Source organism: Homo sapiens, chromosome 12 (genome assembly GCF_000001405.40).
Source record: "Homo sapiens chromosome 12, GRCh38.p14 Primary Assembly".
Lineage (NCBI taxonomy): Eukaryota > Metazoa > Chordata > Mammalia > Primates > Hominidae > Homo > Homo sapiens.
Genome location: NC_000012.12, coordinates 93,565,277 through 93,588,172, shown reverse-complemented (window position 1 = coordinate 93,588,172; position 22,896 = coordinate 93,565,277). Strand labels below are relative to the sequence as shown.

The following is a 22,896-nucleotide window of genomic DNA, read 5'->3' as shown; positions in this document are numbered from 1 at the left end:
TCCGTTGCCTAGATTCTTATTTGAAGGAAATGCTAAATTTCAGTTTAGAGGATAGTGAAAATGACAGTATAACGCTTTTTTCCAATCCAAGTTCACAGATCCCAGACATCTTATCCATGGGTCCCTTGCAAGTCTAGGGATAAAGTTCAGAAGCCCTGATCTCAGGTCACGTCCCTCCAGAGCAGCCTCCATATTGCCACCAAATCTGATGCGGTCACTCTGTTGTTCAAAAGCCTTCGATAGCTCCTTCACTTCCCACATAAAATACAAACTCTTTTGAGAGGCAGGCAAAGCCCTGAGTGCTCAGTTCCCTGCCCACCAACTTAGGGTTATCTCCTAGTTGGTTTCCTCTTTTGCATTTGAAGCTCCACCCACAGTGGTAGAACTTATGGGAACAAACTGTGTTCTCTCACACCTTCGTGTGGTCTGCTCTACTTGGAACTGCCTTGCCTGGCTCTTTGGCCTAGCCAAACTTTTTTTTTTTTTTTTTTTTAGACAGAGTCTCGCTCTGTCACCCAGGCTGCAGTGCAGTGGCACAATCTCAGCTCACTGCAACCTCTGCCTCCCAGGTTCAAGCGATTCTCCTGCCTCAGCCTCCCAAGTAGCTGGGACTACAGGCGCGTGCCACCACGCCCGGCTACTTTTTTGTATTTTTAGTAGAGACGGGGTTTCACTGTGTTAGCCAGGATGGTCTCGATCTCCTGACCTCGTGATCTGCCCACCTCTGCCTCCCAAAGTGCTAGGATTACAGGCGTGAGCCACTGCGCCCAGCCACCAACTGATTTTTTAAGTCTCAGATGAAAAGCTGCCTCCTTTCTGATTTCTTTCTTGACTCCTTCAAACAGATCCAGATAGGTCTTCTCTGCTCAGCTGCTCTTTGCAGAGACCTCCGTTGCAGCCATTATCTTATTGTACCATGTATCATGGCATGCTGGCTTGTGTGTTTCTCTGCTATACAGAATCTCCTTGAGGTCGGGGACTATGTTTTTTGTTTTTGTTTTTTCTTTAAGACAGTCTCACTCTGTCACCCAGGCAGGAGTGCAGTGGTGCCATCTCAGCACACTGCAACCTCTGCCTCCCGGGTTCAAGTGATTCTCGTGCCTCAGCCTCCAGAGTAGCTGAGACTACAGGCACACGCCATCACACCTGGCGAATTTTTGTAATTTTAGTAGAAACAGGGTTTTGCCATGTTGGCCAGGCTGGTCTTGAACTCCTGGCCTCAAGTGATCCACCCGTGTCGGCCTCCCAAAGTGCTGGGATTACAGGTGTGAGCCACTGTGCCCGGCCAGGGACTGTGTTTTTTAACATTCCTCAGAACCTTGCTTCATGACTACAACAAGTAGATGCTCAGTAAATATTTATTGAATGAGTGAGTGAATGAATGATTGAAAAAATGAATAACTAAATGAAGGAAATAAATATAAAGACAGAGAAGTTAAAGATAATGCAAAGTTTCAATCTGGGTTAGAGTAGAAAAACTGAAATGAAAAAAAACTGAACGAAGGAAAAAACTGAATTGTGTTCAGTAGAGTTGTAAATTAAGTACATTTTTCATGAATGTAGTAGAGCATAACTGTCCATTAAAACCCAGCATTTATTCTGGTATTTTCGTTATACAGAAATTTGCTACAGAAAAAGGCCTCATCCTAGAAAGAGGTTGCATTCTAAAGCAGGGTTTGCAAACCAGTTGTCTGGAATTTACAATAGAATTTTCCTCAGAAGTAAATTAAAATTGGTGATTAGGTACCCAATTTATCACACAAAAGTCCATTTACTCTCTAATGTGCCTGAAAAGCTTCAAGTCTGATTAAAAACTGGTAGAAAATAATACCATTTAATATTATTGAAATATAGCCAATTAAGCAAAACAGTAAACAATAGGAGTGAATGTGAACATAATTTATTTATCTTGAATATTGACACTGGAGAAAAGACAGATTTAATTTTAGCAAGTGAGAAAACCCAAGAGATGTTTGTGAAGATCAGAAGAACTTCCGGTCATTCAGAAACTTTTTGAGGTTAGTAGCCCTAACTCTTTAATATGGTCAGTCCTCTGTACCCGTGGGTTTCCCATCCACGGATCCAACCAACCACAGAACGAAAATATTTGGGGGAGGGAAAAAAAAGCAATAAAAAATAACAATACAATACTAATAAATAATACAAACCTTTAAAATATAGTATAACAACTATTTACATAGTATTTACATGTATCAGGTATTATTAAGTAATTTAGAGATGATTTAAGGTATATGTGAGGGTGTATGCCGGTTATATGCAAATACTATACCGTTTCATATAAGAGATTTAAGCATCTTCAGATTTTGGTATCCTTGGCAGGGCTTTTGAGGGGGCAGGGGCGGGAGTCCTGGGATCAATCCCTGAAGATACTGAGGGATGAATTATGTATATTTCACTTCAAGGCTTGAGATCTTTCCTTTTGGCTTACACGAAGGAGAGACACTGTTTTGCAGTACCTGAAAAACTTTTGGAAGACAAAGGCGAAAGAGAAATGGAATTAAAGAGGCTATACATGTTCTATAAAGTTTACGTGAAGTCAGATTTGCCAAGCTAGGCAGAAAAAAAGAAGGAAGCAGGATATATATGGCATGGTATATGTGGTGGTTACACCATGCCGCTCACCAAACATTTCTGTTTCTCTCCTTCTTGGCACAGGGGAGAACTGTGCTTCCTGGCCCCCTTATGGTTGGGTGGCACTATTTTACAGAGTTCTGGCCAATCTGTCAGGAGCAGAAGTGACAGGGCATTTAAACACCACTAAGAGATCCTCTGATTCTCCTTGCCCATCAGCTCAGCACCTCAGACCAGCTGTTTGAGGAGGTGCTGCAGCTGCTTCATCAGCCTGGTTCTGAGTGGCTAAAAGAGCCTCCCTGGTGATTATGACAGATGTGTATAGATGTAGAAATCTTTATTGTTTTAAGCCACCGAGAGTTTGGGGTTGTTTGTTCTGCAACGTAAAATGGCTATTATGATGGACACATCATTTATAAAATTTACCTCCAGAGAAAGGAAAGGAGTGATAGGGAAGAGCTTGTGGGTTATGGTTGCACTGGATAGACACCTAAAGGAGATTAAAAGAAGGGAGGAATGGCCAGGCGTGATGGCTCACACCTGTAATCCCAGCACTTTGGGAGGCCGAGACAGGTGAATCACCTGAGGTCAGGAGTTTGAGACTAGCCTGGCCAACATGGTGAAACGCTGTCTCTACAAAAAATACAAAAATTAGTTGGGCATGGTGGCAGGCACCTGTAATCCCAGCTACTCGGGAGGCTGAGGCGAGAGAATCACTTGAACCTGGGAGGCAGAGGTTGCAGTGAGCTGAGATCATGCCATTGCACTCCAGCCTAGGCAACAAAAGCGAAACTCCGTCTCAAAAAAAAAAGAAGGGAAGAAAAGGTGTAAATTCAGATGTCAGGGACTCTTCCAAGCTGGATAATTAGGATTTAGGCAGATCTTGCATTACTTCTGAAATCAAAGTCCCAATAATAGCATCATTATTAAGATGCATCATTATTAAGAGGTCATAGCCCTCTTAGTATTAACCACATGATGAAATATTACCTACATGTGACTAGCAGACAATATTGAGGTACATGCTGGCTGCAGGCATCAGAGGTTAAAAGCATTTGCAAGCTTATTGAGAAAATGAACAAAAGAGTGAGAAAACCATGGCTTTTGAGTCAGAGTGGCTTGAATTCAAATCTCAAGTTTCCCTCCTGTTAAATAAAAATTATAGAAAGTCATTGTTTTGGACTAAGGTCTTGCACTAGACCCCAAAAATCTAATTTAATCAAAATGGAGTCACTCAAGCTGAGATTTTTACCAAACTGAAAATAGGTTGTTATCTGACCCTCTGAGAAATCGGGAGAGAGGTAACAGCCTAATTTCCCAAGCAGGCTAGTTTCAATCAGCATGATAATTAAGTTCCCTCTACTGTAATCCTTACAAAAAAGTAACCTGGAGTAACCTGATGTTAACCAATCAGTTACTTTTCTATTGTTCTGTCTCCCTGTCCCCACCTTACAAGGAACTTAACTTTGAAAGGACCAATCCACTCTGGGTTCTGTTTTTTGCTTTCTTCTACTCCTCTCTGGCTGTAAAACCAACCTCTTCTGCTTAGCTAATTGGAACACTTACTCTATTTTATGGAATGAAGTGTTACCCAATTCTGGAATTGCAAATAAAGGTAATTAAGATCTTTAAGAGAAATTGTTGTGATTTTGTCTTTCGACACTATTAAATCATTTAATCTGTGTAAGTGTCAATCTCCTTGTCTCTGAAGTGGAGATAAAAGCAGAATCTACTTCAGATGTTTGTGGGGAACTTTCAGTGAGGTTATACTTGTAAAGTGTCAAATGCAACACCTGGCATTAGTAAATGTTCTAGCTTTTTTCAGTCTTCTGGAAGCCCAAGAGTTGGTCTGTTATAGAATGGTTGCCTGTCACGCCTTGGACGTAATAAAACCCATGGCCTGCCCAACGCAGCTTCAAACTGGATATCTGGGGGACTTTCAGCCATTACCCAGGCTCAATGATGCACCTCTGCTTGAGACATCTGATTACCCCAACCCTCCTCCTTGACTATCAAGACCAGAGATGTGCCCCACTTTAAGAGAGATCCAGGAAAACCCAAATGTGCAAGATGGATAGATTAGGGCCGGATCATTCATGCACCAAGATTCTTTTAATTTTACCAAAGAATCTAAGAATTTCCTTAGTATATTATAGCTTTTTTGTTTCCTTTACTTTTTTCTTAATTGCCTGACAGATGAAAATAAAGCTCAATGGCACTCTTATCTATTGAGGATCAATTGGAAATAAGAATAATCTACGTAAATGGGAAAAATGACTTGCAAAAACACACCCTATGCCCATCATCTTCTGGGAACACATCTGTTTGTTAGCTGGGAAGCAGAGCGAAGACAGCCTTCCAGATCCCTTGATAATGAAAATTCATCCAAAGGGTTATGATGATGATGATGATGGCTGGCATACACCAGATTCCTGTTTCTCCATGACAACCAACATCTAAAAACCCAACTCAAAACTCTTCGATCATAGGGTAATGTTCAAAGATCCATAGCTAAAAGAAAACACAAAATTCTTCTAACCAGGATAAAAAACAGCTGGCTGTGAAAAAAAAAAAAAAAAACAAAACCCAGAGTTAAGAAGGAAGTATATTTTCAAAATAAATGAGAATATATTATAGCATAGAGGTAAAATCTGTACTACAATCTACGTAGAAACTGAGACTCCACTGATAGGTGGAGCCTGCCTCTCCTCTGAGCACTCTCACCCCAATGTACTATCACATCTGGGCAGATGGGACCTCCTTGGAAGGGACCAAAAATCCTGAAGGCTCCAGGCTCTTCAATTTACAGATAACAGAGATTCAATGTTTGGCCCAAGGTCAGAGAACCAGAGTGGACCCCAAGTTTTCCAATTCCTAGTTCAGGGTTGTGCCCGCTGCACCGCGACCTCTTGCTTTCCTGAGAAGAGAATCTGTGCCAGTTACCCCAACTTGCCCAAAGTGGAAGCCGCTCCTCAAAGGGAAGCGTGCAATCTGTGTGACTCAAAGCCGCATACTCCAGGGCAAATCTGAGCCTGCAGCCAAGGAAGGAAAGAGTCAACCTCTGACTCTCTCTCCAATCTTCTCACAAGGACTACCTCCCTCCTACCTAACACTTAACCGGTCTCCCTCTCTCCGCCCTTGCTTTGTTCCAAGCCATTTTTCCAAAGGACCTCCAGAGGGATGATATAAAACACAAACTTAGTTCTGTTGTTTTCCCCTCCATTTAAAAAGCTGACATCTGCTCCCTACTGCCCTCAGGATAAATTCCAAGGTTTTCAGCCAGGCCTGCAAGATCTGCCCCAAGTCACCCTCAGACAGCACCTCCCAGAAGCCTCATCTCTACCCTCTTCTTCAACCTTTCAGCCAAAAGATCTTCCCCACTCAGCAGGTCTGAGGACTCCTTCCAGTCTATTAACACTCAGACACAAGATACCTTCCTCTGGGGGCTTGTCTTCATAAACCCTCAAAGCAGGTCAATGGCACCCTGTCCGCAAAGTAACTACACTGCCTTTAACAATGCATTTTACAATAAGTTATTCATGTAATTACAGCTCCTATACAATATGGTATCCTGAGATGCAGAACCTGGGTTTGATTCATGACTTCCCTACTTGACTGGGCAGGATATTTGACCTAAGTTTCTGTTTCATTTGGAATAAATGAGGGTCATACATACCTCATCAGGTTGTTGTGAAGATGAAATGCAATGGCTAAGCAGGGTAATGGGATATATTAGACTGTTTAATAAATGTTAGTCCCCATCCTCTCCATCCTTTCTCATGGTCTGTAAGAGCTCCCTCAATGAAAGAACACTTCCTACTGTTGAGTAATACAGTAGACATTCAATAAACGTTGGCAGAAAGGAGAGAAGGAGGGAGAAAGCAGGTGAGAAGGGAGGGAGGAAGAAAAAAAAAGAGAAAACTAATGAGATAAATGAACGAAGCTAGAAGGAAAAAAGAGGCCCTGATCTATTAGAGCTGAGTTGTTGTAAACAATGATCACATGATGTTGAGATTGCCTAACACCTTCCTACTAAGAAATTGAAAAGGTAGCTACAGATACCCCAGAGTAACTAGAAAAAGACACAGAATCAGGAGATGGCCTGATCCATAGTAGAAGACAATGTAACCCAATATAAGATTGACACACATTAAAAAAAAAAAAAATCATTCCTTGAATTGTTCACTCCTATTCTGCTCTAAGCACTGGGCTTGGTATAAAAGAGGCTACAAATAAACTGATCTTACCCTAATGAGGTCTCAATTATTGAGGAGGACATAATACCTAGATCAGTGCTATGTTGTTAAATCAGCTATCTGGTGGCGGAGAGTCTTAATTTATAGCATCTGCCTATTTCTGTGGTGTAATACTCCCACCATGGCTGATTCAATCTATCAATAATTTATGCATAATGATTGAGCTCACAAAATCTCTCAGTTTTTAGTAATTGACTCTCAGGAGCCTCCACACACTACTGATGCTCCATCTCCCTTACTTTTCTCTCTTGATATTTTTTTAGCCAGTTTGTTGCATATTAACATCCCTATCACATGATGGACAAGGAAAATAAAATGAGAGAACAGAGAAGCAGCTGATTTTTCTGTCAGTGGTTCTAGCAAAGGAGACAGAATGGGGAGGAAGTTGAAACTATTGGCTAGATGTGTTTATGGGCTTCTACTATTCCCCAGTCTCTCTGCCTCTTATTCCTACAGATAATTAAGAGCAGATGCTCTAATCCAATATGCAAAATACAAAGACACTTTCTGACCAAATACAGAATTGATGGCCACAACCTAGAAATAAAAATGAAGAGAAACAAGCTATGCTGGAAACCTAAGATGGGTCAAGTTCATCAAGATGGCAAGGGGGAATGTTAAAATGGGAAGTCAAACAACTTTCTCTGGGTAGAAATAACATGGCCTCTTTTTCTTTTCCTTTTCTTTTTTTTTTTTTTTTTTTTTTGAGACAGTCTCACTCTGTTGCCCAGGCTGGAGTGCAGTGGTAAGATTGCCGCTCACAGCAACCTCTGCATCCCAGGTTCAAGCAATTCTCCTGCCTCAGCCTCCCAAGTAGCTGGGACTATAGGTGTGCGCCACCACACCTGGCTAATTTTTGTATTTTTAGTAGAGATGTGGTTTCGCCATGTTGGCCAGGCTGGCTCGAACTCCTGACCTCAAGTGATCCGTCCACCTTGGCCTCCCAAAGTGCTGGGATTGCAGGCATGAGCCACTGTGCCTGGCTAACATGGATTTTTTCTGAATGTTAAAGATCACAGCAGCATTCTGGACCAAACACTAAACAGGAAAAAGGATACCAAACTAACAGAAGGGAAAAAATGCTTAGCAAAAACAAACAAATTTTTATCTTTAACACTGTAGGAAACCGGAAACTGGGGAGATGTAGGAAAATTTTATGAAGTTGTGTGATGGTTTAACTGGCGAAAAAGTCTCACCCCACCATGGCAAGGGGGCTCCTTGGGTGGCATTTATGCTGAGACAGGAGAAGAAGGCAGCTGGCGATATTTCCTTTTCTCTCACTAGGACTCTGGCAAGCCTTTCTCTAAGAGAGGCAAAGCCACGTGAATAATACATCACAAAATGCACTTCTGATCTAGGGCAAGTCAGAATGCCTATAAGTTAAGGATGTGGGTCAAAGTGAGAGTTGTCTGTAAAAGCAGTTAGTTTTATCTTTACAAATGCATGTTTATTGAAGTAAGTCCTATTCTCTGTGGCACACTTAGCTGATCCAGCCTCCTTTGCTGACAAAGCTCAGGAAGGGGTAGATAGGAAAAGCCAGCTCTGCTCCATGACTTCAGACACTGGGGACTCCAGGACTTTTAGAGGCCACTCTAACAACACTTGTTACCTTTATTACCATAGTAATAGTCACCTGAACTCAAGCCACACAGAGGAAAAGTTAGAAAAATCAAAAATATGTGAAGATGAGAATATAAGAACCATGCATATGAAGAAATGAAACAAAACTCTCACAGAATCGTTCTTACTTACAGACATACAGCAGCAGAAGCAAAGGAATGGAGGGCATTTTTATTCCGTGCAAATGAAGGTTAACTTAACACTGAAAAAGGAGCCTGCCATACTTAAAAAATAAGTAGATTTAAAAAAAAAATGCCCATAACAAAAGTGTGGCATCTGGGGCTGGTTACTTGCTTCACAACCTGAATGGAACCAAAAAGAGATACAAAGAGATTTAATCTTAAGGTAGTCCAAATCATTCAATTACCCAACTCAAGGAGAGTATAATTATCCTCTTTCACTGGAGTATCATGCGGCCAGAAAGGCTGTGTTAGATAAGTCAAGAGGGCAACTTTATGATAGGAAAGGGAGAAAGTAAGGCAGGAATTAACTATCCCTTATGCCCATGAATGGGCAAAAGCAAGAATGGGTCCTGCTGGTAAGGATGGGAGGGCGGGCAGTCGCCCAGGCATTGTGGCTGGGTGTGTGTCACATCTGGTGGAGGTAGAAATGAGATCATCAAACAGCATGGATGGGAGGTTTTGGATTTTAAAACAGCAAACAGATTAGAAATGTTAAGGAGTTAAAATCAACAAAAAACTAATGTGGATCAAGACATCATGAAATCCAGCAGAGGCAGATTTTTCAGAATCGGGTAGAGGAGGCCAAGAACTGTAATTATCCCACAGGGTATTCCACAGGCCTGGCTTCTGAATCCCAGCGGAAGAAATATATGATGTTAAGAGAACTGTAGGACTTGCAGGAAAGCAAAGAAGAGTCTCGGCAATTTTATCAAAGGGTAGGAGCGTGCAACTTTTACAAATAGTAATCCTAAGACTAAAATATCTGCGTTTGAATCCTGACTCTGTCATTGATTGGCTGGGTTGTGTGCCTGTGTGTGTGTGTGTGTGTGTGTGTGTGTGCGAGCATGCAAATCTCCCAGCCCCTCTGGATCTGAAAGTCTTCCATAAAATCCATAATATGTGATCTAAAAAGTGGTTTCAAGCTTTAAAATTCTAAGAAGTTAAAAAAACTGGGAAAGGAGAATACAGAAGACCTCTTAAGTAAATGAAAGGCCTACAAGAACATTGTTTTGCTCTAAAGGATAGAAAGGACGACTTAAAGACGGAGACTTCAGCCCAGCTGTTAGACATAACCACAGCCACTCAAACCCCACCTACCCCGTGCCTAAACTCACAACTGAGAAGGGCATAGCCTGGTCTCAGGACATTCCATCCTTTGGATTACTTGACGAAGATGACGTCTCTGTCTCCTACCCTCCTAACAGGGTACAATTTTCTAAAAGCAGAGAAAATCCTTCCCAAGAAAATAAACACTCCCAAACAACTGTCCCATTCTGTTACCTATTTGGATTACATAATTATTATGAAGTCAAGACTTTCTTACTGACACACCAAAAAAGACCTCTCATCTCATAAGCTGAACTGCCTTTTTCTCCACTATCCAAAGTTCCAAAAAATCTCCAAGTCCCTAAAAAGCAATCACCACTGCTCACTGTAATGGTCATGAAAAACTGCACTGCCTCATCTCTGCCCAGAACAGAAACTGAGGTCAAAATATTTTCAGAGTTTGGGGATATATAAGTCTTGTATACCATATTCTTCAACAACAACAATAATAAATATCCTCACAAATGCCCTAAATTGCCCTACATTGGGAGAAAACACTGGATATTCTTCCAGGCTTTGGTGAGGATAATTTAGACAAGTGTACTTTTTTTCCACCATGTATAAATGGGGCTACCAATAATTGGTAACTGGCATTGATCAGCCACTAAATCAAATAGGAAGCCCCCTCCCCGCCCACCTGCACAGCAGTCATTATGAGCTCCCCTTTCAGGCGTGTTCAGGGGAAAAAAACCACTGGGCCAGGCTGACCAGAATCCCACAGAGCACAGTGCTAATTAAGGTATCTATACTTTTCCAGTTGATCTGGTTGAACAGCAGTAAAAACACCAAGGGTTCTTTTTCAGCCTGCTCTAACTTGTTTGTCTGGATCAATGTAGAAATTTTCAGCAGCAATTTGCTCTTCCCAATTCCTCTCCCGGGGGAAAAAAAAAAAAAAAAGAGCTAGGATATTCCTGGAATGCCTCTTGACTCACAAATCAGGAGGGGAACCTCCTATCATCATTGTACTTTGCTCATTTCGTTCTTGGGAAAATTAAATGAGATAATACAAGTGCTGAGTGAGAACCTGGTTCACAATAAACTCAATAAATAAATGATGTCAGTCATCGTAAAAAAACAAAACAAAACCAAAAATAATTGCCTCCTGATGTTTATCAACCTACTTGCAATATGGAAGATTGAAATATAAGGCAATAGGTTTCATGGCACACTCCAGAGATGTTTGTGCTGTCCTCCAGCCTTCTCATAATTAGTCACTTGCGAGCAGTAACTCAGAACTTTTTCCAATTTCACAGGTACTCATGCCTCACAACTGCCTCCCCACTCCCAGTAACTGAGAAATAGAGTGTTCAAAACAGTGACAATAGAAAGGCAAAAGACCTTTAAAGAAATTCCACAAAGCCCCTTGGCACTGATCATATAGAAGTTTTGCCAGAAAAATCAAACATCCAACACTAAACAGGTGTTGTCAGTGGGAGAAAAACGGTGAATGAAGCACAGATTCTAAGCATCCTCATCAAATGGTTATGGCCCCATCATAGATCCGACCCCAAATGTCTAGCTTTTCTTGAAGTTTTAGGCCACAAGTAAACTCTTCCTGAGGCACACCTAGCAATCTTTTGTGTTTGGCTCTGCTGTTTGGATATACATAGTATGTTTCCTGCCAGGCACAAAACCATTTTTCAACTTCTTCATGAAAATAAGGTAAGATATCCAGTAAGCAGGTTTTATTACAATTTATAACTGAATTTTCTCATTCACACAGGGTCCACCTTTATGGTGACACACCACAGGATTGTAGCTATGCAGGAAAATTTTAAAGCCATAAAATAAATAATGTCTGGACTCTAGAAAAGATGGTACATTTATAACAGTTATGCAGACTAACATAGCAAAAAATAAGTGGCCACAAAACTTTGTATTTTTCTTTAGTATTATGCCTACTCAACTTGTAAAAGACTGGCCATGTCATAATGTTTGTAGTTTCTAAACCATGTTTTTGGAAACACAGAGGACATCAGTGTTATGCCTATTCAAATTATAAAAGACCCGGCCACTTGACAATGCCTGTAGTTTCTAAACCATGCTTTCCAAATTGCAAAGGGGGCAGGTACAGCCCATAACTTTACAGAATGGCAAGTAATGTTCTACCTTTTGTTGAATAATTGGCTTATTTCACTTGACGTAAGTTTTTATGGCAATCCTCTATTACCATGAAAGTGTACGTTCTCTAGAACTCAATAAGTGCAACTTGTAGAAATCAGGTTTTTTTTATTTAATACATTCTAATCAAATAGTAACAGCAGTAAATAAACACTTTGAAAAACAGGCAGGTATCCCCCTGTATCTGGAAGAAAATTAAGTCAAAGTATTCTACACAGTAGAAGGGAGACAACTGTTTATGTCCATGGTTAGACAATTCAAGGACAACTTGGATATTTCTAAAGCCATTTCCAAAAAATCAATGGCAACAGGTTGGGACACAGCTATTTCAAAGGGTAGAATGCCTATACCTACATTGGTTTTTATTAACGGGGATTGAGTTGCACCTGTATAGCATGATATTCTTGTCTTTAGCTTTAAAGGAAAAGAGAAAGTCTTTTCCATTTGCACCAGTTTGAAATATTTCTGAAATAAGGCTCCCATAGAATGGATTACTACAGTACTCATTCACATGAGAGTTCCTACATGTAGTAAAAAGACAAATACAGGACTTCATGGTCACTTTTTTTGGTTGATTTGGTTAATTGCATAAAATGGGATAAATACTCACATACATCATCTGTTTAACAAAACTCCTAGGTACATCAGAATGCAAAATATAAAATGCCCAAGAGACTCTGATCAGCAGGCATATCAAATTGCAGTGAGGCCTGTGTCAGCTTGGTTCCTTCCCACTTCTTCAGTATTCCTATGAGGAGTTCTTTCTCTCCTACTGGAGCCTGGACCTTTGACATAATGGAAAAGAACCTAAGAAGGCAAGGCATTCTGATAAAACGCGACTTCAGCCTTTACATGCGACATTTTATTTTTAATCTAAAAGGATCAACAGGTCTTGGTCAGCCTTAGGAAGGGAAGCATCACTCAGGTAAAAGTATCTGGAGGAACTTTAAACACCTAGCTACCTCTTCAAGCTGTTAAATTTAAATTAGATTAGCTTCAGCTGTTCTTAGAAAGCATTCCATATAGTTATCCAGAGCACTCAAGTTTTGGTTCTCTTTTACATAGCTGCATTCGGAGATACTCTATGTGAGACATGTTTAAAAAAAGAGAAACATTTATACCTGGAATTTATATTCTTCCAAGTAATCTTTTAGTCTTGTTGGTAAAGGCAGTCCCCAGATGGCACCGGTACATTTGTTAATGGTGAGCCTACAGAGATGCTGCAGAGATGGTGCTGACGTGTAGAGCGGTTTGGTCAGATAAAGGTGAACAGTGCCGTTCCGGGGGGCTTCTGGACCTGTCCGCTTATCCTTGCACATCTGAACATAGTAGTCGATCAGATGAACCACACTGTCAAATTGTTTAAGCTTGGATTTGACACATATGATAGAGTCCAATCTGAATTTTCCGTCTTGGTATTCGATTCGAAGATTAGTTGGTCCAGCTGATGTTTTAACAGATATTGTTAGTAGGTAGTCTGAATGCGAGCTATCTCTAATCAAGAAAGTTCCTTCTGGTGCCTCTTTTAATTTCTCTTTGGCTTCATTAACAGTCATACTTCCCCAGTACCATCCTGGGGTTTTTGTTCAAAAAGAAAAAGAAAAGAGGGTAAAACAGTTATTATAAGAATTCTTAGAACAGAGCAAGTAATTGGCAATAATTTTTTTAGCTCTAAAAAAGAAAAAAAAAAAAGGTGGTGTGTGAGCGAAAGTTTACCGGGCCACCACAAATACTTTCAGTAGGAATTTAATAAAAATTTGGGTCCATTTTATGAACACAAACGGCGAGCCAGTTTTCTTTCTTTTTTAAAAAATCAACTTTCTGAAGCTCTTCTTAAGATTTTCTTCTAATGAACCAAAAGAACATCTGCAGCATGACACACTGGCTGATGAAGCATGACACTTTTAACATTATTTAAGTAAAATAAAGATTTAGGTAAATTAGAAAAAAATCAGAAGTTAGAAATAAAAGCCATGCCCTTTAAAAAGTGGAAAACCCAACTCCTGTAATTGAACTACAGTAAAAACAGAAGCAACTTTTTTGGATGGTTGGTGTGCCCCCCACCAAAAAAAAAAAAAAAAAAAAAAAAAGAATCTGCAAAGCCTGCTATGAACAGCCTTCTATGTAGAAAGCACTGCTATGTACTTGTTGTAAAAGCACAGCTCTAGTACAATAGCTTCTGTTCGCTGCTTTATGACTACCTTACCAGTCACTAAGAAATGGGAATTCCCAAGTGATAATTACTACTTCAAGTTTACAATCTTCCCTAAACTCTTTTGAACTTTGCCCTAATCCAAACCCAATCACAACCATCCATCTCCCCTGCATTCTTGATTTCATCTGCCTGCACCATCTCCCCGGCCCACTCTGCTTTCTAAGAAGGCTCAGAGACCGTCCGTATTTAAGAAGTCTGAACATTTGTGCTCCCCCCACCCCCACAATTACCGGGATACTTGCAATCTGCCGGTGCCTCCCCGGGAGGGAAAGCCCGTGGCCCACACGGAAAGACCGGAATCGCAAGCGAGAGAACTTTTCCCTCTCCCTCCCCCTGTTGCTACCAAAATTTCAACTGTGCCACAACTGTAAGCTTTTAGGATACGGATTTGGAAAGCCAGAATGATTTGCCAGATACTTTACTTTTTTTCTTTTTTCTTTTTTCAGATGCCTAGAGACAGCGTGCCGCGCGAATTGCCTGACTGTACTTGAAAGCGGCAGTACCCTGGGCGCGCCGACCATGGAAGCCGCGCTCGGCGGGGGCTTCGCAGCCTACTCTCGACGCCCGGGCAGCCGCCCTCGCGGCAGTGTCAGTCCCTGAACTTGGCCGCCAAGATCCTGGGCTGCAGCCGCAGCTCCGCCCGGGAGCCAGATGCTGCTGGGCCTGCGGGGCCCGCGGCACCGACTTGCTGATTGCACCCCGTGCAAAGGGAGGCGCCCGACGCTTTCCCCGGCCGGGGTTCGAGCCCGGGAGCCTAACCCTGAGCAGCTGCGGAAAACAGTAAATCTTCCAGCGTGCTAAGAAGCTATTTCCAAGAAGCTCTTCCCGCGCTCTGCGCTCCGCCAGGCCTGAGTCCCTGGAGAACCACTTTCCTTACGCATTCCCAAGGACCCAGGACCCTGCGAGCGTGCTCTCCGCGGTCCCTTGGAAGCAAGGGACGTATTTCCATCTTATTCTTTGCTTCCCACCTCGACCCCGCTTCCTAGCTGCTTCCTTGGGGAGGCGCTCCCTCCCGCACGCGTCGCGGCCGATCGGCTCCCTACCTGTCTGACCGAGCTCCCGCAGGGCCTTCGCCAGACGCGCCGCCTGCGGGGATGGCTCCTCCGCCGACCCCGCGGTCCCCCACTGGCTCCGCGTCCCTTCCCCGCCATTCCCGGAGGGCTCAAGGCACCGCAGGGTCATGAGAGAAGGGTCACCGCGGCAAAGACAGGTGGCCGCCCGAGCTGGGGTCAGAGAAGGGTTCGCGTCCTTCCTTGAAGTCAGTGCGAATCCCAAAACGAGTCCCTGCGGGGTGTCCGAAATGGTGGCAGAGAGAGAAGGGATGGGGCTCTTTCTCCCCAGATCCTGGAGGACGGATGACAAAGTCCCTCGCAGCCGCGGTCACCCACTGATCGCCTACAAAGAGAAAGCGGGAGGTTGGGTCAGTCCAAACTGGACCCCTGCGGCTGGGGTGGGGGTGGGGAAATAGACGTGGAAAATCCCAGGGACTCCTCCGCCTCTACGTTCCTGCACCATTTAACCCCAAGCTTCCAGTTAGCGCCCTGGCCCAGCTCTAGAGAAAAGATAAAGAGAGCAGAGATCCAAGATAAAGTTGGCTGAAGAGGTGGGGGGCGGAGGTCAGGAGGAGGGTGAACAGGGTGTCTTCCCGCCCAGGGTCACTAGCTGAAATCAAAGACTGGCGACCTAGGAAGAGCAAATAGTCACCTGCAGATCCAGTGGGAATAGGCCCTTGTCAAGGACAAGTAGAAAAAATTAAAAAGGAAAGAACAGGAGAGATTCCCCAAATTGGCATTCCGGTCTCACACCTGGCGCAGCCCGAGGGCCCCCAGGAAGAAGCACCCACACAAACTTGGTTCTCCGCCCTAAAGCGCTGCGGGGCCCCGAGGCACCAACCCGGGGTGCGGAGGTGCGGGAGCTGCCGCATCTCCGCCCGGGAGGCTCCTCGCTCCCCTCCCCCCGCTTCCTGGTGCCCGCTCTGGCGGGGTTGGGGGTGCCGCGGCGGTCGCTCCCGGACCAGGATGGCTGCGGTGGTTCTCGCCGCCGCGGGCGCTGTCGAGGAATCGGCCCGAGCGCGCAGCCCTCGCGGGGCTCCGAGGCGAGGCCGGGGCCGAGCGGGCGGTCGCGAGCGCTGCGGAAAATGCAAACCACCAACGCCGCGCTCTTACCTCGACCTCGGCCGCGGCCGCCGCCGCCGCCTCCGCACCAGGCAGCCTCCTCAGCGGACATGGGGCGGGGGGGTGGGGGGAAAAGGGGAGGTGGGAGGGGCCCGGGAGAGGAGGGGCGTCTGCCCTTGTTTCCCCCGTTAACGTTTAATTTGGGAACGAGATGCCCGGGGATGCAACCAGCCCCGCGCTCGGAGGCGGCGGTCGGAGTTCCGTGCGCAGAGGGCACACAAAAGCCTCGAGGATCATTGCCTCGACCCCATCCCCCACCGCGCGGCGACGCCCCCTACGGGCTGGGACACCTCCACTCTCGGACTGCTGCCGGGTTTCCCTCCGGCTGCGACCCTGGAGGTGGGAAGGAGAGAGGGAGGGAGGGAGGAAGGAGCGAGGGCGGGAGGCAGGCCGGTGGGGAGGAGCGGGAGATCAGGTTATTAGGAGGATTATTAATTTGAATGGCAGTTTAGGGGAAATAAAAAAAAGAAACTCCAGACACTTCCAGACGCCGAGAAGGGGCTGGAGAAAGCAGGCAGCAACGCTAGGCCGCGGGGCAGAGCCGCGGTTCGGACTCTCTCTTCCCCGGCGCTCCGAGCTGCGGAAGCCCAGGCCGTCCGCCGCTCCCCGGCGCACGCGGCCGCGCCTCGCCGCCCTCCCCGGTAACTCTCCTCGGGGCGGAGCCTTCGGGCTTCCCCCACTACCGGTACCTGCCGCGGGCGCCCGAGCTGCGGGCACGGGGTATCCTGAGGCTGTGCACCCGGGACCCCGGCGCGCACTGTCCGCGGGCCACGCGGTGAGGGTGGCTGCGGGCGAGAGGGCTCATGCTTCAGGGGAAGCCCAAGGCCCGCCAGCCGCGGCGGCTGCGACGAGACTTGGCAAGAGTTAAACGTCGGTCCCAGGAGCAGCGAGTGCGCGCGACTTCCCAGACCGACGCGCCTCCCTTGCTCCCCGCCTCCCTCCCCAGTCAGCGCTCCGCTCGCGCCCCGCCCGGCTGCTGCGGAGGCGGCTTTCCAGGAACTTTCCAGGAATCGGCCTCACGTGACCGCGGGCCCCGCTACTGCTTTAAAGAGGCTCGGTCGCAATACACAGGCTTCAGGGAAGACCGGGTGAGAGCGCTCGGGTGCAGGGCGGGCGGTGTGCACGCCGGGGTCGGCCTGCCTCTGGCCCCACACCCCGGGGTGCTCGGGCGCAAGCTAGAGATCTCCCCGGCCACCGGCTACAGCCAACCCCGTTTCGGCGGCCGGAGCCTGCCCCCTACCCGGGCCAGCTGAGCGCCCGGGTTCAGGGAAGGATAGCGATCCTTGGCCCTTGGCCTGCCACGGGGGTGGGTTCCTCTAAACATCCCGGCGGCGCCCCCTCGATGCGACCCTCCTGGCCGCACTTTTGCGGGGGGTGGGCGTGCAGGAGCGACTGTGGGTCCTCGGAAACCAGACTCTCCGGCTCTAAGACACATCGATGGCGTGGGGACGCCGTGCTCGTCCCGGTGCCCACGGCCGGGGACCGGAGGCGGTCCCCTTGATCAGGTCCTGGAAGGCAGCGAGCGGGAGAGCAGCGCCTCCTTAAGCGGCGCCGGCCGTCCTTAGTCCCCTCCCCCTGGCGCTCCGGCTCCTTGTCACCCGCACCCACCCGGCTCCTCCCTTCCTCCTCCCCTCTGCTCCAACGTCTCCGGTAGACCCGGCGGCCCGCCCGGGTCACCTGCGCCGGCTGCTAAGGGGGCGCCCTTACCTGCGCGCCCGGAAGGGGCTTGGTGACTGGCCTCGGTTCCCTCAGTCCGGAGAGTGTCTCTGCCATTCCCTGCAGGGCTGACGCCCCAGGGCTGGGATTCGGAAGGATCTCGGCACCTCTACCCTACCTGGGATTCTCACCTCCAACCCCGTTGGAGGCCCCCTGGCCTTAGTGGAAACTCATCTCCTTGTCTGCGCACCCGCCCCCGAAATATGACCTACTTGAAATGTGACCTACTTTTTAAAAGAAACCCTTAACAATCACGGGAAAACCGGATCCAAAATTTCGATAAGCATTTTTCTTTGAAATACTATTCTATTGCATCACTGCTCGAAAGCTTGAAAGGTCAATGGCCACTTTTAGTTGAGGCCGCGGCTATGGGAAGTTGGGCGAGGAAGGGGGAGGGGTGGGAGGGAGGCGCGTCTTGCAAACTTTGCCTGGTGCCCCCCCTGCCGGCTCTGGGAGGAAACGGGAACCAGCTCCCAACCTTGGGGTCTGCAGCCGGGGACCAATGGTTTTCTCAATAATTTTCCTGCTTTTGAGTACATAATTCTATGCAGATGATAAGCAGATGAGTCGGGGAGGGGGGCATTTCCCAGCTAACAAAGAGCTTTGTTAACGCTGGAGCCGTGTGCCCTTAATCATGTTTCGTTTTTTAGAAAGAGCCTTTTATAGTGTGGGCGGAGCTAACTGAACCCTAGTTAAAATCCTCTACAAAGTAGTTGAATAATTTTGCACAAGGCACTTACCCTCTTTGGACCTCTGGCCCTTTTTATAACATGAAGGGCTAGATTCGGGTTCTGGGTGAGGGACTGGGATAAAGGAACAAATCAGATTCCATGTGAAGCCTGTGTACAGTCTGAGGCCCCAAGCCTTTTAAGAACCACTATGTCTACTAGGGTTAACTGCCCTCTAAATTGTCCTAATATGGCTTCTTATTCCTTGATGGAGAATCCTAGAGGAAGGGTGTACCCACACTTTAGCTTAAATAAAAAGGTATTTATTCCTAAAACTGACGGAGGGCGGGGAGGGAGCATGACCAAGTCTCCCTCTGTCGCCCAGGCTGGAGTGCAGGGCGTGATCTCAGCTCACTGCAACCTCCGCCTCCCAGGTTCAAGCAATTCTCCTGCCTCAGCCTCCCGAGAAGCTGGGATTACAGGCGCCCACCACCACGCCCGGCTAGTTTTTGTATTTTTAGTAGAGACGGGGTTTCGCCCTGTTGGTCAGGCTGGTCTCGAACTCCTGGGTTCAACCGATCCTCCTGCCTCGGCCTCTCAAAGTGCCGGGTTTACAGGCGTGAGCCACCCCTCCTGGCCCTAACATTTTTATACAGTAAGTTTAATATTTACTTGATAGTGGGTTGAAATGAATCTTCCAGCAACTCCTTTTTTATGTGCTTTCCTGTTGCCTTGGTGCATGCTGTTCCCTCTTCCTAGAATGCTCCAACCCTGATGGCTGCATCATACTTGATTAAAAGAATCCTGGCCGGGCGCGGTGGCTCACGCCTGTAATCCCAGCACTTTGGGAGGTTGAGGCGGGTGGATCACTTGAGGTCAGGAGTTCAAGACCAGCCTGGCCAACATGGTGAAACACCGTCTTTACTAAAAATACAAAAATTAGCCGGGTGTGGTGGTGCATGCCTGTAATCCCAGCTACTAGGGAGACTGAGGCAGGAGAATCGCTTGAACCCGGGAGGTGGAGGTTGCAGTGAGCCGAGACGGTGCCACTGCACTCCAGCCTGTTTACCTCTCTGACCTCATTTCCTCCTGCTCTGTTCTTTGATCACTCTGTTCAAGTTACACTGGACTCCTTGCTAATTCTAGAACTCATTAGCCTTGCCCCTGCTTCAGGGTCTTTGTATTTGCTGTCTCCTCTACCTCTCATGCTCTCCTTTTAGATAGCTGCAAGGTTTACTCCCTCACTTCCTCAAATCTTTATTTAATGCCGCTTTCTTAGTGAGACCTTGCCTGTTGGCTCACTCAGAATTGACCTTCCCCCTGCACATTTCTCTTTCCTCCCTGCTCTAGTTTTTTCCTTAATCATGTTCACCATCTAACCTAGTTTATGTCTTATTTCTCCAGCTTACTTTCTCCCCAACTCTGCTTCATGTATTTGTACTTGCATTGTTCACAGCTGTAGTTCAGCACCTTGAACATAGTTCTTAGCATGTAGTAGGCATCCAATATAATCATTGAATGAATGGATGGATGAATGAATGGATGGATGAATGAATGAATGCATTAGCACCATGGCTTTAAAGTTAAGCTGTCCAGGTATGAATCCTCACTCTGCCACCACTTGCTACATATGTGATCTTTGGCAATTTATTTAGCCTCTTCTGGAGATGATCATGGTCCCTACCTTACAGGGCTGTTGTGAGAATTAATTGAGCTAATCTATGAAAAGTGCTTTGGAACTTAGCAAATACTTAATAACAATTAGCTGTTATTTCAACTGTCATCCTTTTACTCTCGGTGAGTTTGGATTTTTCTGTCTATGGATAAGATTGTCTTACATTTGCCTATGTAAAATTCAATGGTCACCTCCACCCCCACCAAACCTCCCATCCTGTGGCTTCCAGAGAACTTCATGTAGTTGGTTCCCTGGAGCGCCCTTTCGGCTTTAAAATTTACAGGTTTCCAAAGTGATTCCATTTGTTCCTAGATTTTCAGACCATATCTATTCAGTGTGGCAGATTCATGGCTGCAGTGATGAACGGTTATTCTCCATGAGGAGCGAAGGGAGAAGATTTTCACAAAGCTGGAGCATTTCCTCCACTGCCTGCACTGAGGAGTTGCCAAGGCTTGAAAATCTCTTCTGTGTGCCAAACCAGAACTGGACATTTCTGGTTTTGCAATGCAGACGTTCTAGTACTGGAATTAACAAATGCTCCACACTGAGCTACTGCCAAATTGCCAGGAGAGTTTTTCAGTGTTTGTTTGGGGGATAGGGTAACAATAGGATGGCCTTTGGAGATTGTGTCTGACACACCTGTGGGCAGAAGGTAGGCTTTAAGTATCCACCATCTCTTCCTTTTAGAGTTTGCCATCTCCGTACCACCACCACCACCACACACAGCACCCTCAAGACTCCCTGTGATCCTGGGATGCACTCAACGAAGAGTGTGTGGCCCAGGTGAGCCAATGGGAATGACTCGAGCTCTTGGACATAGAGGTTTGTCCAGTATCACAAGTCCAGTAGAACCAACCAGATTATTTTTATTTTCAGGATTTGATGGAAATGCTACAAGAGAAGCAGGCTCTCCCCTTCTGAAATGATGAGTGATAATGACCATACAGGTCAACTTTTCCACCACTTGGAGGGAGCCTGTCAAAGAACAAAGGCAACAGAGAAGAGAGCAGAGCTGAGGTTGGGTGAGAGGGAGAAATTCCTGAGTGCTTGAATCCCACATGCCGGAAGCCGCACCACACTTGGACTTCTCAATACAGGAGCCAGTGAGTTTATTTTTTCCTGACCTGGTTGGATTTGGGCATTCTCAAGAGTTTGGGGGTTGGGTGGGGGGCATTTAGGGGAGAGAGCAGAATGCAGAATTGAGAAGGGGAAGAAGAGAGCTGCCTTCCACTTTAATGAGCATCTCCTACTTTTCCTCTGGTGCTTCTCAGCACTAAGTCCCTTTTACAATATACTGCTTGCTCCATCCCCATAATGGAGGACACTCACTGGTAGACAAAGGAAGAGGGAGAGGAGCAGAGCTGATGCCACTGGCATTAGTGCTCTGGGCCCAGGATGGGGCAGGGAGCAGTGAGGCAGATGGCTTTCTCCTGGACTTCTGGGACCCAAGAACATGGTAAATGTCCATGCCGTCTGTCTTTCCGCCCACAGAATGGAGGGGAAACATGTTCTAGGACAGCAGTCATCAATCTTATTTAAGACATGAATCAATCAGAAATTCCGGTAGAATCTAGAGACCAGAGGTCACAAACCACCTGCCTATCGGGACCATATTTGACTCACTCAGAGTGTTCTGGTTGGTATGCCAGGATTCTCTAAAGAAAATGTGAACTAAATTGAGATTTCATCTCCAAAGAGAACCAGATTTCTGCTTTCTCTTAATCAGCCATAAGGTCTGTCAATACTGGGTCCCATTTCCTCAAGGCAGTGATCAACTGAAGCAGAGGAGTGAGTGCCTGCCTTAGAAGGCATGTGCCCTCCCGTTTGCCCAATCCTCACCCGCCCCAAGGTCTCCCCAACACTGAGCATTGCTTGCCTTTTGTCATCACCCTTGCATTACTGTTTCTTATGGTGGAGAGATATTTATTTGGACCCAAGTCTCTACCAGAAGTGACGAAATAAAAGACAGACCCAGAAGGCTGAATATGTCAGAATAAAAGGGAGAAGGCATATTTCTCTGTGGAAGAAAATAATATTCCTCTGTGTTTAAGAGACTGGGTTCTCACACCTGATGTATTTCATTCTTCTATATTCCCACCTAGCTCTGCAGGCATTTATTGGCAGGCTACACCTAAGACTTTCTCTGCAGAAAAATGTTCTAGATGCACAGATTTGGGGGCTTGATTGACAACCTGACACCTCACTCTAAATCCGCATGGGTCTGTTGACCTCAGGTGAGAACACTTGTTCTAAGGGAGTGGAAGGTCTTTATTAAGATAACCCTGAGAAATAAAAGTCTGCCTTGAGCATTGTATGGGACTCTTTTTTGTTTGTTTGTTTGTTTTTATTTTGAGACACTGTCTCTGTCACCCAGGCTGGGGTGCAGTGGCACAATCTCGGCTCATTGCAACCTCAAACTCCTGGGCTCAAGCAGTTTTCCCACTTCAGCCTCCCTAGTTGCTGGGACCACAGGTGTGCACCACAACACCTGGCTAATTTTTGTACTTTTGTAGAGACAGGATCTCCTTTTATTGCTCAGGTTGGTGTCAAACTCCCCCGCTCAAGTGATC

General features: G+C 46.1%; 1 protein-coding gene and 1 long non-coding RNA gene across 19 annotated transcripts in view, besides 10 other annotated features; one reads left to right on the top strand and one right to left on the bottom strand.

Moving 5' to 3' along the window:
* The window catches only part of SOCS2 (suppressor of cytokine signaling 2), a 56,268-nt gene extending 38,064 nt beyond the window's left edge, over positions 1 to 18,204 (bottom strand). The window contains exons 1-4 of one of the 18 annotated variants that reach the window (XR_944810.2): positions 15,137 to 15,498; positions 13,000 to 13,451; positions 4,885 to 5,150; positions 1,885 to 2,485 (exon numbers count right to left, since the gene is read on the bottom strand). Coding sequence is in view for 17 of the 18 variants with exons in the window: in XM_017020147.2 (XP_016875636.1) it covers positions 12,523 to 12,663; positions 13,000 to 13,451; positions 15,137 to 15,275 (732 nt within the window). In the remaining variant the exon portion in view is untranslated. Of the gene's footprint in view, positions 1 to 1,884; positions 5,151 to 7,551; positions 8,771 to 11,427; positions 13,452 to 15,136; positions 15,499 to 15,797; positions 17,162 to 17,507; positions 17,785 to 17,974 lie in introns of those variants that run through there. The other 17 variants (XM_017020147.2, XM_017020152.2, XM_017020148.3 and 14 more) reach the window with 17 other exon arrangements.
* Positions 2,359 to 3,304: an enhancer, noted in NCBI's record as "H3K27ac-H3K4me1 hESC enhancer chr12:93978645-93979590 (GRCh37/hg19 assembly coordinates)". NCBI's record gives its function as "activates a minimal SCP1, AML or CMV promoter by ChIP-STARR-seq in primed H9 embryonic stem cells {active_cell/tissue: H9 hESC(primed)}" and the evidence as "EXISTENCE:reporter gene assay evidence [ECO:0000049][PMID:30033119]".
* Positions 3,305 to 4,251: an enhancer, noted in NCBI's record as "OCT4-NANOG-H3K27ac-H3K4me1 hESC enhancer chr12:93977698-93978644 (GRCh37/hg19 assembly coordinates)". NCBI's record gives its function as "activates a minimal SCP1, AML or CMV promoter by ChIP-STARR-seq in primed H9 embryonic stem cells {active_cell/tissue: H9 hESC(primed)}" and the evidence as "EXISTENCE:reporter gene assay evidence [ECO:0000049][PMID:30033119]".
* Positions 5,038 to 5,538: an enhancer, noted in NCBI's record as "H3K4me1 hESC enhancer chr12:93976411-93976911 (GRCh37/hg19 assembly coordinates)". NCBI's record gives its function as "activates a minimal SCP1, AML or CMV promoter by ChIP-STARR-seq in primed H9 embryonic stem cells {active_cell/tissue: H9 hESC(primed)}" and the evidence as "EXISTENCE:reporter gene assay evidence [ECO:0000049][PMID:30033119]".
* Positions 5,539 to 6,039: an enhancer, noted in NCBI's record as "H3K4me1 hESC enhancer chr12:93975910-93976410 (GRCh37/hg19 assembly coordinates)". NCBI's record gives its function as "activates a minimal SCP1, AML or CMV promoter by ChIP-STARR-seq in primed H9 embryonic stem cells {active_cell/tissue: H9 hESC(primed)}" and the evidence as "EXISTENCE:reporter gene assay evidence [ECO:0000049][PMID:30033119]".
* Positions 14,695 to 14,834: an enhancer, noted in NCBI's record as "active region_6771". NCBI's record gives its function as "activates an Ori minimal core promoter by ATAC-STARR-seq in GM12878 lymphoblastoid cells {active_cell/tissue: GM12878}" and the evidence as "EXISTENCE:reporter gene assay evidence [ECO:0000049][PMID:35858748]".
* Positions 16,052 to 16,361: a silencer, noted in NCBI's record as "silent region_4715". NCBI's record gives its function as "represses an Ori minimal core promoter by ATAC-STARR-seq in GM12878 lymphoblastoid cells {active_cell/tissue: GM12878}" and the evidence as "EXISTENCE:reporter gene assay evidence [ECO:0000049][PMID:35858748]".
* Positions 16,372 to 16,421: a silencer, noted in NCBI's record as "silent region_4714". NCBI's record gives its function as "represses an Ori minimal core promoter by ATAC-STARR-seq in GM12878 lymphoblastoid cells {active_cell/tissue: GM12878}" and the evidence as "EXISTENCE:reporter gene assay evidence [ECO:0000049][PMID:35858748]".
* Positions 16,775 to 22,545, top strand: SOCS2-AS1 (SOCS2 antisense RNA 1). The gene is made up of 4 exons (NR_038263.1): positions 16,775 to 16,908; positions 21,014 to 21,109; positions 21,203 to 21,429; positions 22,429 to 22,545. It is a non-coding gene; the product is annotated as an SOCS2 antisense RNA 1 (long non-coding RNA).
* Positions 16,782 to 17,061: a silencer, noted in NCBI's record as "silent region_4713". NCBI's record gives its function as "represses an Ori minimal core promoter by ATAC-STARR-seq in GM12878 lymphoblastoid cells {active_cell/tissue: GM12878}" and the evidence as "EXISTENCE:reporter gene assay evidence [ECO:0000049][PMID:35858748]".
* Positions 17,432 to 17,621: a silencer, noted in NCBI's record as "silent region_4712". NCBI's record gives its function as "represses an Ori minimal core promoter by ATAC-STARR-seq in GM12878 lymphoblastoid cells {active_cell/tissue: GM12878}" and the evidence as "EXISTENCE:reporter gene assay evidence [ECO:0000049][PMID:35858748]".
* Positions 17,682 to 17,731: a silencer, noted in NCBI's record as "silent region_4711". NCBI's record gives its function as "represses an Ori minimal core promoter by ATAC-STARR-seq in GM12878 lymphoblastoid cells {active_cell/tissue: GM12878}" and the evidence as "EXISTENCE:reporter gene assay evidence [ECO:0000049][PMID:35858748]".
* Positions 22,546 to 22,896: the final 351 nt, after the last annotated feature.